This window comes from Homo sapiens, chromosome 3 (assembly GCF_000001405.40).
Source record: "Homo sapiens chromosome 3, GRCh38.p14 Primary Assembly".
Classification (NCBI taxonomy): domain Eukaryota; kingdom Metazoa; phylum Chordata; class Mammalia; order Primates; family Hominidae; genus Homo; species Homo sapiens.
The window spans coordinates 134,571,859-134,584,493 of NC_000003.12; the positions used below are offsets into that span (position 1 = coordinate 134,571,859).

At 41.1% G+C, this 12,635-nt stretch overlaps 1 protein-coding gene across 14 annotated transcripts in view; it reads left to right on the plus strand.

The window, feature by feature from the left end:
* CEP63 (centrosomal protein 63) overlaps positions 1-12,635 on the plus strand; it is a 296,836-nt gene that overhangs the window by 86,135 nt on the left and 198,066 nt on the right. For 6 of the 14 annotated variants that reach the window (NM_001353113.1, NM_001042384.2, XM_024453777.2 and 3 more), the window contains one exon: positions 2,935-3,155. The exons of the other annotated variants lie outside the window; for them this stretch is intronic. In NM_001353113.1, coding sequence (NP_001340042.1) covers positions 2,935-3,033 — 99 coding nt within the window. In that variant the 3' untranslated portion in view covers positions 3,034-3,155. Of the gene's footprint in view, positions 1-2,934; positions 3,156-12,635 lie in introns of those variants that run through there. 14 annotated transcript variants of the gene reach the window in all.

The window sequence follows — 12,635 nt, forward strand, 5'->3', positions numbered from 1 at the left end:
TGCTTTTGAAGTGGGGACATATGAAAGTAATGTTTTAATATGTCCATCACAATTGTAATGAGCTATGAAAATATCTGTGATTTCTATTGGAATAAAGCTAAAGGTACTGCTAGCACTGTGGCCTATACTCATAATGGAAGAAAAGTACATTTCAGTCAGAGGTTATTGAAAATAAGGATGTCAGTTTTTCCCACCCAAGTTCATGGAACCCTAAATTGTATCCTTGGATCCTTGGGAAGTGTCTGTGGACTCCAGGTTAAGAATTTAGAGGCCTACTTATGTTTTATCTCATGCCTGGTCATGTTGGTTCCCTGCGAACATTCACTTGTTTACAGGAGGCAGTATTTGTGCTTAATGTCAGTCTTGACTCTAAGAACTTAGTCTTTTTTTAAAAAATAATTTCAACTTTTATTTTAAATTCAGGGGGTGCACGTGCAGGTTTGTTACATGGGTGTACTGCATGATGCTGAGGTTTGGGATATGAATGATCCCAATACCCAGGTAGTGAGCATAGTATCCAATAGACAGTTTTTCAACCCTTGCTCCCCTCCCTTCTTCCTCTTTCTATCCCCAGTGTCTATTGTTGCCATCTTTATGTCCGTTACTACCCAATGTCTAGCTCTCACTTGTAAGAGAGAACATACAGTATTTGGTTTTCTGTTCCTGCCTTATCTTGCTTAGGATAATGGCCTCTGGCTGCATCCATGTTGCTGCAAAGGACATGATTTCATTCTTTTCTATGGCTATGTAGTATTCCATGGTGTATATGTACCACATTTTCTTTATCTAATCCGCTATTGATGGGCACCTGGGTTGATTCTATGTCTTTGTTATTGTGAATGGTGTAATGCTGAACGTATGAGTTTATGTGTCTTTTTGGTGGAATGATTTATTTTCTTTTATATATATACCTAGTAATGGAATTGCTGGGTCAAATGGTAGTTCTGTTTTAAGTTCATTGAGAAATCTCCAAACTGTTTTCCACAGTGGCTGTACTAATTTATATTCTCACCAACAGTGTATAAAGCATTCCCTTTTCTCTGCGACCACACCAGCATCTGTTGTTTTTTTGACTTTTTGATAATAGCCATTCTGACTGATAGGAGATGGTTATCTCAGTATGGTTTTCTTTTGCATTTCTCTGATAATTAGTGATGTTGAGCATTTTTTCATATATTTGTTGACTGCTTGTATGTCTTCTTTTGAGAAGTGTCTGTTCATCTCTTTTGCTCACTGTTTAATGGGGTTGTTTGCTTTTTGCTTGTTGAGTTGTTTAAGTTCCTTATAGATTCTGGATATTAAATCTTTGTCAGATTGTTTAGTTTGAGGATATGTTCTCCCATTTTGTTTACTCTGTAGAAAGTTTCTTTTGCTGTGCAGAAGTTCTTTAGTTTAATTAGGTCCCACTTGTCAATTTTTGTTTTTGTTGCCGTTGCTTTTGGGGACTTAGTCATAAATTTTTTGCCTAGGCTGATGTCCAGAATGGTGTTTCCTAGGCTTTCTTCTAGGTTTCTTATAATCTGAAATTTTACATTTAACTCTTTACTCCATCTTGAGTTAATTTTTGTATACAATGAAAGGTAAGGGTCCAGTTTCAATCTTCTGCATATGGTTAGCCAGCTATCCCAGCACCGTTTGTTGAATAGGAAGTCCTTTCCCCATGGTTTATTTTTGTTGACTTTGTTGAAGATCAGATGGCTGTAGGCATGTGGCTTTATTTCTGAGTTTTCTATTCTATTCCATTGGTCTATGTGTCTGTTTTTGCACCTGTACCATGCTGTTTTGGTTACTGTAGCCTTGTAGTATAGTTTGAAGTTGGATAGTGTGATGCCTCTGGCTTTGTTCTTTTTGCTTAGGGTTGCTTTGGGTATTCTGGCTAAGTAAGAGCTTAGCCTTTAAATGGGCTGAGATAATAAATCAACTTACCCAAGCAAGGTAATATTAATTTTTTTTATTCATGACATACTTTTTGGAATTTTGGAGAACTATTGTTCTGCATCTGACAGATCAGAGCATTCTGCCTGTGTTAGAGTTAGGCCCTGAGGTTTTGGAAGCCCTCAGCATTTAGGACAGCATTTAGGGCAAGCCTGGGATGGTGAGTGCTCTTCTCCTGGGTCTTCTTGGAAGAAGACCAGGTTTGAACAAGCACACTACAGTCTCTGTAGGTCACAATCCCAATGCTTGACATGCAGCCTCGTGGGCTGGCTGCATATGATCAGGGAGAAGCTGGACCACTCAGCCATTTCCTCTGCAGAGTTGCAGGGTATGCTACTGTCCTCTGTGGACAAGGGGCCTATAGCACTATTGGAGGAGCTGGTGCTCTGTGTGCTCCAAGATAATTGCTCACTGCCGAAGTGCAGCTCCTTAGGACTGGGGTGAGAAGAGAGATGGAGGAGCGGCTTCTGCAGGGAGACCAGACAGAGCTCAGGTGGGCACAGCTCTAGACAGCAGTCCCAAATCTGTTTTTACAAAGCAATCCAACAGTTTCTGAGTCTTTCTGAAATCTCAAGATGCATTTTGGATCCTTGACCTAAACTTAAACACTACAAACAAGGCCAAAACTATTATCTAGTGATGTGTCAGACAATTATGTCTGTCTGCTGCTGGCATGCTCTGCTGCCTCTCATGCCAAGCTACAGGGTGCCTGCTCCAACAAGAAATATAATTCTTCAAATTAGCATTTCTCATTATTTTTTAACACTGGATCTAAAAATATTTGATTAGATTCAAAATTTATCCATAATATTGCTAAGATTTTGTTTTTTTGGTTATAGAGTCCCACTCTGTCACCCAGGCTGGAGTTCAGTGGTGCAGTCACGGCTTACTGCAACCTCCACCTCCTGGGCTCAACTGATCCACCTCAGCCTCCTGAGTAGCTGGGACTTCAGGCACGTGCCACCACACCTGGCTAATTTTTTATATTTTTTTTTGTAGAGATGGGGTTTTACCATGTTGTCCAGTCTGGTTTTGAACTTCGGGATTCAAGCAATCCGCCAGCCTCAGCGTCCCAAAGTGCTGGAATTACAAGTGTGAGCTACCACCACTGGCAGTTAAGAATTTTAACAATTTGTCAATGAAACAAGAATCTCAATTAGAGTCTTTATATACAATCTGTACTGTTGGAATTTTCAAATAAATATTGTAAAGAAAATTAACACTATTTTGCCAAAGCTTCTCATCAATACGGACTATGAAGAATTTAAAGACTGTCACTAAAAACATCAGGAATTTTCATGCTAGAAAGCTTAAGATAACTCCTTCCTTCCTTCCTTCCTTCATCCCTCCGTCCCTCCCTCCGTCCCCCTTCCCCTCCCTCCCTGTCTCTCTCTCTCTTCCCTCTTTCCCTCCCTCCCTCCCTCCCTCCCTCCCTCCCTCCCTTCCTTCCTTCCTTCCTTCCTTCCTTGCTTCCCTCTTTCCCCCTCCCTCCCTTCCTCCCTTTCTTCCTTTCTTTCCTTTTTTCTTTCTTTCTTTGGAGACAGGGTCTCACTCTATGGCCCTCTTTCTCCCTCCCTCCCTCCCTCCCTCCCTCCCTTTTTTCCTTTCTTTCCTTTCTTCCTTTCTTTCCTTTTTTCTTTCTTCCTTTGGAGACATGGGCTCACTCTGTGGCCCTCTTTCTCCCTCCCTCCCTCCCTCCCTTTCTTCCTTTCTTTCCTTTCTTCCTTTCTTTCCTTTTTTCTTTCTTTCTTTGGAGACAGGGTCTCACTCTGTGGCCCTCTTCCTCCCTCCCTCCCTCCCTTTCTTCCTTTCTTTCCTTTTCTCTTTCTTTCTTTGGAGACAGGGTCTCACTCTGTGGCCCAGGTTGGAGTGCATTGGCATAATCACGGCTCACTGCAGCTTAGGCATCCTGGCCTCAGGTGATCCTCCCACCTTAGCCTGCTGAGTAGCTGTGATTACAGGTGTCTGCCACCACATCTGGCTAATTTTTTAAATTTTTTGTAGAGATGGGGTTTCCCTATGTTGCCCAGGCTGGTCTCGAACTCCTGGGCCCAAGCAATCCACCCTAGGCCTCCCAAAGTGCTAGGATTACAGGCTTGAGCCACTGTGCTGGGCCATAGGATTTTGATCAAATATTTTTGCAAAGATTGTATTAGAAGTTTCATATAAATGCAATATTTCTTAATACTTGCATTTTATTTTCATCATCATAATTACATATTGCAGAGAAATGCAATGACTTTTACATGTAAGCCCCCTTAAATTCTCTCCAGTTTACCCCACAGGTGTAAATATAATTGTTTATGCTTTTCACGGGAAGTCTTCTCTTGAATGTTGGGCCTTTGGATGAAAGAGCCTTGGTGGTGAAGCCCTGGTATGGTTTCTGGGACATTGCAAGCCAGCCCTTTCTCCTCTTCTTTTATGCTTCCACTAAAATATTTCTGCAGTTAAAATTTATTTTGATTAATGCTTAAACATACATGGGCTACTCAGAATGACAGTTTATCCATTTATTAATTCATTCATCATACATTAATCAAGCAAACCCCTCATCTTAGAAGACTGAGTTCCTGCTATTCCCTGAAGATGCCAGCACAGAAGACACAGATGCCAGCTCCCTTCCTGCTCCAAGAACCTCTGACAAGTGCGCATGGCAGTACTAGTAACACACCTGTGCCCTTAGCAATTTGTATCACCAATGCTTGAAACCCCAGTGCCCAGGGCAGTGAGGCCCAGTGAAATGAGACTGAGAGCGGAGAGGTAGGGCCTCAAAGCCAGCTTGCCACTTAGCAGCTGTATGCCCTTGGGCAGTTTCTTCATATGCAGAATGTGGACTATGATCCTAATTCATCAAGGCTGTCACAAGGCCAGGTGAGATGCTGAAAAGGGAAGACAATAAAAATGCTGTAGATGGAACTCCGTATGTAACTTCAGCCACCCAAGAGGGCAGCTGTAGGAAGGCATCAGGGCAGGAAGTTGACCCTGGCCTCGGGGTCTGGGAGACAATAGAGGGGCACGCGTGGGGTGACTTGGAGAGCCAGCCCATCCAAAGGGAGGAACTAAAACTTGGCTCCCTGTGTTCACGGGCTTCTCAGGAAAAGCTGGCTGCTCAATTTTTTAATGCCATTTTCCTGGTTTTCAAATGTTAGCACCAATTAACTTAAAACAAACAAAAAACAACACTGCGCAGGCCAAACAGTAAAGTTTGTAACCTCTGCTCACACTAGTGTTGGCGTAGTAAAGATGTCCTGGGACCATGATGCATTACTGCAGTTAAGATTCCCAGGAAAGGGAGTGGGGGCCCAGCAGGAGGAGAGCCATCTCCCCTTGTCTGCAGGGCTCCAAACAAGACTGGAGCCACAGAAACTGGCCACCCATCATATGTCCCTTCAACCAGAATGGGGCTGTTTTTGCAATAGAGTGCCATCTATAAAGAACCAAAGCCAAAAAACTTCTAGGAAAAAAAAAATAGGAGAAAATTGTGACCCTGGGTTAGGCAAAGCTTCTTTTTAAAAAATAGTAGCATGGATGATTTTTTCTCTTGGATTTAACAAATGTCAACATTTCATCATATATGCTTCACACTTGTATGGAAAAAAAGCTTACCAAAAACTTTTTTGTGGCCTTTTCTAATCCACTTTTTTTTTTTTTTTTTTTTTTTGAGATGGAGTCTGGCTGTGTCACCCAGGCTGGTGCAATCTTGGCTCACTGCAAGCTCTACCTCCCGAGTTCAAGCAATTCTCATGCCTCAGCCTCCCCAAGTAGTTGGGACTACAAGTGTGCGCCACCATGCCTGGCTAATTTTTTATTTTTAACTTTTTTTTTCTTACTTTGAGTTCTGGAATACATGTGCAGAATGTGCAGGTTTGTTACACAGGTATACATGTGCCATGGTGGTTTGCCGCACCTGTCAACCCATCATCTAGGTTTTAAGCCCCAAATGCATTAGCTGTTTGTCCTAATGCTCTCCCTCATCTTTCCGTCCACCCCCGCGACAGGCCTCAGTGTGTGTTGTTCCCCTCCCTGTGTCCCTGTGTTCTCATTGTTCAACTCCCACATATGAGTGAGAACATGCAGTGTTTGGTTTTCTGTTCCTGTGTTAGTTTGCTGAGGATGATGGCTTCTGGCTTCATCTGTGTCCCTGCAAAGGACGTGATCTCATTCCTTTTCATGGCTGCATAGTATTCCATGGTGTATATGTGCCACATTTTCTTTATCCAGTCTATCATTGATGGGCATTTGGGTTGGTTCCATGTCTTTGCTATTGTAAACAGTGCTGCAATAAACGTGTGTGCATGTGTCTTTATAGTAGAATGATTTAAATTCCTTTGAGCGTATACCTAGTAATGGGATTGCTAGGTCAAATGGTATTTCTGGTTCTAGATCCTTGAGGAATCACCATGCTATCTTCCACAATGGTTGAACTAATTTACATTACCACCAACAGTGTAAAAGCGTTCCTATTTCTCCACAGCCTCGCTAGCATCTATTGTTTCTTGACTTTTTAATAATCGTCATTCTGACTTGTGTTTTTTTTTTTTTTTTTTTTTTTTTGAGATGGAGTCTTGCTCTGGTCACCCAGGCTGGAGTGCAGTGGTGCGATCTCACCTCACTGCAACCTCTGCCTCCTGGGTTCAGATGATTCTCCTGCCTCAGCCTCTTGAGTAGCTGGACCTACAGGCATGCACCACCATGCCTGGCTAATTTTTGTATTTTTGTAGAGATGGAGTTTCACCATGTTGACCAGGTTGGTCTTGAATTCCTGATCTCAAGTGATCTGCCCACCTTGGCCTCCCAAAGTACTGGGGTTACAGGCGTGAGCCACCATGCCCAGCCCTCACTGTGATTGATTTGCATTTCTTTAATGATCAGTGATGCTGAGCTTTTTTTCATGTTTGCTGGCTGCATAAATGTCTTCTTTTGAGAAGTGTCTGTTCATATTCTTTCCCCACTTTTTGATGGGGTTGTTTTTTTCTTGTAAATTTGTTTAAGTTCCTTGTAGATTCTGGATATTAGATCTTTGTTAGATGGGTAGATTGCAAAAATTTTCTCACATTCTGCAGGTTGCCTGTTCACTCTGATGACAGTTTCTTTTGCTGTGGAGAAGCCCTTTAGTTTAACACTTGGCTAATTTTTGTATTTTTAGTAGAGACATGGTTTCACCATGTTGGCTAGGCTGGTCTCGAACTTCTGACCTCAAGTGATCCACCTGCCTTGGCCTCCCAAAGTGCTGGATTACAGGCGTGAGCCACTGCACCTGGCCCCCACACCATTTCTTTAGCAGAAACAACTGCTATCCTGGTGATGGTGTTAACACTTGACAACCGTATTTTTGTATGTATACATATTCACAAACAACACATAGTGTGATTTCATGTATTATAAGAAGTATATAAGGCAACACCATACATGAAATTTGCAACCAGTAAATGAGAACCTTACCAGGTAACTTATATGTTGTCCTTGGGGTAGGTTTGGTTTATGCAGAGCTGGTTTTTGCACTTTACCGGGAATAATGTGCTTTCCCAGGAATTGCTGGGTTTATGTTTAACTTTTAAAAATACCAAGCTGTTTTCCAAAGTGGCTAAGCTATTTTATATTCTCATCAGCAACATTTGAGGGTTTCAATTTAACCACATCCTCACCAATGCTTGATAGCTGTTAGTCTTTTAGATTATAACCATTCTAGTGGGTGTGTACTGATAACGCATTGTGGTATTAACTTGCATTTCCATAATGACTAAAGTGAGCACCTTTTCATGTGCTTATTAGCTATTCATATGTTTTCTTTGGTGAAATGTACATTCAAACCTTCTGCGCAGTTTTTAATTGGGTTGTTTATTTTCATATTATGAAAGGGTAAGAGTTCTTTATATATTCAACACAGTAATTCTACTGCTAGGTACCTAGAAGTAAGAATATATATCCACATTTGTATGTTGATATAAAGACATCATTCGAATGTCTATAGTGGCATTACTCATAATAGCCAAAATGTAAATGTTTATCAACTGGTAAATGAATAAAAAATAGTATATCCATGCAAATAATACTATATAGCAATACAAAGGAATGAAGTACTCATACATGCTACAACATGGATGAAACACTAAAACACACTAAGGGCTGGGCGTGGTGGCTCATTCCTGTAATCCCAGCACTTTGGGAGGCCAAGGTGGATCACCTGAGGTCAGGAGTTTGAGACTAGCCTGGTTAACATGGTGAAATCCCATCTCTACAAAAATACAAAAATTAGCTGGGCATGATGGTGGGTGCCTGTAATCCCAGCTACTGGGGAGGCTGAGGCGGGAGAATCGCTTTAACCTGAGAGGCAGAGGTTGCAGTGAGCTGAGATTGCGCCATTGCACTCCAGCCTGGGCGACAGAGTGAGACTCCACCTCAAAAAAAAAAAAAAAACACTAAGTAAAAGAAGCCAAAAGATTATATATTGTATGAATCCATTTATATAAAGTCAGGAAGGCAAATCTATAAAGTAGTGGTTGCCTGGGGCTGTGGGTGGGTATGTGGAAGCTTTCTGGGGTAACTGAAATGTTCTAAAACTGGATTGTGGTGATGGCTGTACAACTCTAAGAATTTACAAAAATTATTAAAATGTGCACTTATACAGAGTGAATTTTATGATCTAAAATTTACATCCCAATAAAGCTGTTTAAAAACAAACACACAGACAAACAGAAATAATACCAACCATAACTAAATTCATGTAGAAAGTAGAAGAGAATTCTTTTCAACTTTTTCTTTTAGGCTGGCAAAACCGTGATACCAAAAGCTGACAAAGACATTATTAAAAAAGAAATTTATGGACAAATATTCCTCATGAACACAAATGCAAAAGTCATTAACAAAATATTAGCAAATTAAGTCTATTAATAAAGAACAAGCTTAATACATCATGACAATATGGGGTTTATCTCATATGAATTCAAGGTTGATATAACATTTGAGAAAAAATAGAGTTCACCACATGTGAACGACAGCCCTCCAAAAATATCTATGCCCTAATAATCCCTGCAACCTGTAATTATCTTGCATGTCAAAGGGAAATTAAGGTGCCAAAGGGAAATTGAGGTAGCCAATGTAATTAATCAGCTAACCTTAAAATATGCAGATTATCATGAATTACCTAGTTGGGTCTCATGTAATCACAGGGACCCAAGTGTGGAAGAGGGAGGCAGAAGAGTATCAGAGTGATGTGGTATGAGAAGGACTCCACTGGCCATTGGTGGTTATGAAGATGGATGGGGGCCATGAGCCAAGGAATGCAGGCAGCCTCTAGAAGTTGTAAAAAATACAAAAACTAATTCTCCCATAGACCTTCCAGGAAAGAACACAGCCCTGTTAACACCCTGAGTATAGCCCAGAGAACCTCATTTTGTACTTTTGAATATACAGTAAATTTGTGTTAAGTCACTAGCTCTGTCGTAGTTTGTTACAGCAGCAATAAGAAATCAATATACCACATTAACGAAATAAAAAATTATATGGGCCAGACGCGGTGGCTCACACCTGTAATCCAAGCACTTTGGGAGGCCAAGGCGGTGGATCACCTGAGGTAAGGAGTTTGGGACCAGTCTGGCCAACATGGTGAAACCCTGTCTCTACTAAAAAATACAAAAATTAGCCGGGCATGGTGGTGGGCACTGTAGTCCCAGCTACTCAGGAGGCTGAGGCAGGAGAATTGCTTAAACCCAGGAGGCGGAGGTTGCCAGTGAGCCGAGATGGCGCCATTGCACTCCAGCCTGGGCAACAAGAGCAAAACTCTGTCTCAAAAAGCAAACAAACAAACAAGCAAACAAAAATTATATAATCACTTTAATGCAGAAAAAGCATTTGACAGAACTCAATACACATTCATGATGAAAACATTTTTTTTTTTTTTGAGACGGAGTCTCGCTCTGTTGCCCAGGCTGGAGTGCAGTGGCGCGATCTCGGCTCACTGCAAGCTCCGCCTCCCGGGTTCACGCCATTCTCCTGCCTCAGCCTCCCGAGTAGCTGGGACTACAGGCGCCCGCTACCACGCCCGGCTAATTTGTTGTATTTTTAGTAGAGACGGGGTTTCACCGTGTTAGCCAGGATGGTCTCGATCTCCTGACCTCGTGATCCGCCCGCCTCGGCCTCCCAAAGTGCTGGGATTACAGGCGTGAGCCACCGCGCCCGGCCGAAAACATTTTTTTAAACCAGAAATAGAAATAGCAGACTTTAAGATAAAAAGCATGATCAAATAAAAAAGGAGAGATTTAATGATGATAAAGTGTCCATCTGTCAGAAGATATAAAATTCTAAATTATATGCCACTAATAATATAGCCTCAGGGAAAAAAACTGGCAGAAATAGAAGGAAAAGGAAATTATAACTACAGTGGATGGGTTTTTTAAAAAATTATACTTTAAGTTCTAGGGTAGATGTGCACAACGTGCAGATCTGCCACATAGGTATACATGTGCCATGTTGGTTTGCTGCACCCATCAACTCATCATTTACATTAGGTATTTCTCCTAATGCTATCCCTCCCCCAGTCCCCCATTCCCCTACAGGCCCCAGTGTGTGATGTTCCCCAGCCTGTGTCCAAGTGTTCCCTCTGTTCAACTCCCACCCAAGAGTGAGAACATGTAATGTTTGGTTCTCTGTCCTTGTGATAGTTTGCTGAGAATGATGGTTTCCAGCTTCATCCATGTCCCTGCAAAGGACATGAACACATCCTTTTTTATGGCTGCATAGTATTCCATGGTGTACATGTCCCACATTTTCTTAATCCAGTCTATCATTGATGGACATTGGGTTGGTTCCAAGTCTTTGTTATTGTGAATAGTGCCACAATAAACATATGTGTGCATGAGTCTTTATAGTAGCATGATTTATAATCCTTTGGGTATATACCCAATAATGGGATTGCTGGGTCAAATGGTATTTCTAGTTCTAGACCCTTGAGGAATCACCACACTGTCTTCCACAATGTTTGAACTAATTTACACTCCCACCAACAATGTAAAGGCACTTCTATTTCTCCACATCCTCTCCAGCATCTGTTGTTTCCTGACTTTTTAATGATTGCCATTCTAACTGGTGTGAGATGGTATCTCATTGTGGTTTTGATTTGCATTTCTCTGATGACCAGTGATGATGAGCATTTATTCATGTGTCTTTTGGCTGCATAAATGTCTTCTTTTGAGAAGTGTCTGTTCATATCCTTTGCCCACTTTTTGATGGGGTTGTTTGTTTTTTTCTTGTAAATTTGTGTAAGTTCTTTGTAGATTCTGGATATTAGCCCTTTGTCAGATGAGTAGGTTGCAAAATTTTTCTCCCATTCTATAGGTTGCCTGTTGACTCTGATGGTAGTTTCTTTTGCTGTGCAGAAGCTCTTTAGTTTAATTAGATCCCATTTTTCTATTTTGGCTTTTGTTGCCATTGTTTTTGGTGTTTTAGACATGAGGCCTTTGCCCATGCCTATGTCCTGAATGGTATTGCCTAAGTTTTCTTCTAGGGTTTTTATGGTTTTAGGTCTAACATTTAAGTCTTTAATCCATCTTGAATTAATTTTTGTCTAAGGTGTAAGGAAGGGATCCAGTTTCAGCTTTCTACATATGGCTAGCCAGTTTTCCCAGCACCATTTATTAAATAGGGAATCCTTTCCCCATTTCTTGTTTTTTTCAGGTTTGTCAAAGATCAGATAGTTGTAGATGTGTGGTATTATTTCTGAGGGCTCTGTTCTGTTCCATTGGTCTATATATCTGTTTTGGTACCAGTACCATGCTGTTTTGGTTACTGTAGCCTTGTAGTATAGTTTGAAGTCAGGTAGAGTGATACCTCCAGCTTTGTTCTTTTTGCTTAGGATTGTCTTGGCTATGAGGGCTCTTTTTTGGTTCCATATGAACTTTAGAGTATTTTTTTCCAATTCTGTGAAGAAAGTCATTGGTAGCTTGATGGGGATGGCATTGAATCTATAAATTACCTTGGGCAGTATGGTCATTTTCACAATATTGATTCCTCCTATCCATGAGTATGGAATGTTCTTCCATTTGTTTGTGTCCTCTTTTATTTCGTTGAGCAGAGGTTTGTAGTTCTCCTTGAAGAGGTCCTTCACATCCCTTGTAAGTTGGATTCCTAGGTATCTTATTCTCTTTGTAGCAATTGTGAATGGGAGTTCACTCATGATTTGGCTCTCTGTCTGTTGTTGGTGTATAGGAATGCTTGTGATTTTTGCACATTGATTTTGTATCCTGAGACTTTGTTGAAGTTGCTTATCAGCTTAAGGAGTTTTTGGGTTGAGATGATGGGGTTTTCTAAATATGCAATCATGTCATCTGCAAACAGGGACAATTTGACTTCCTCTTTTCCTAATTGAATACCCTTTATTTCTTTCTCTTGCCTGATTGCCCTGGCCAGAACTTCCAACACCATATTGAATAGGAGTGGTGAGAGAGGGCATCCTTGTCTTGTGCCAGTTTGCAAAGGGAATGCCTCCAATTTTTGCCCATTCAGTATGGTATCGGCTGTGGGTTTCTCATAAATAGCTCTTACTATTTTGAGATATGTTCCATCAATACCTAATTTATTGAGAGTTTTTAGCATGAACTGGTGTTGAAATTTGTCCAAGGCCTTTTCTGCATCTATTGAGATAATCATGTGGTTTTTGTCGTTGGTTCTGTTTATGTGATGGATTACATTTGTTGATTTGCATA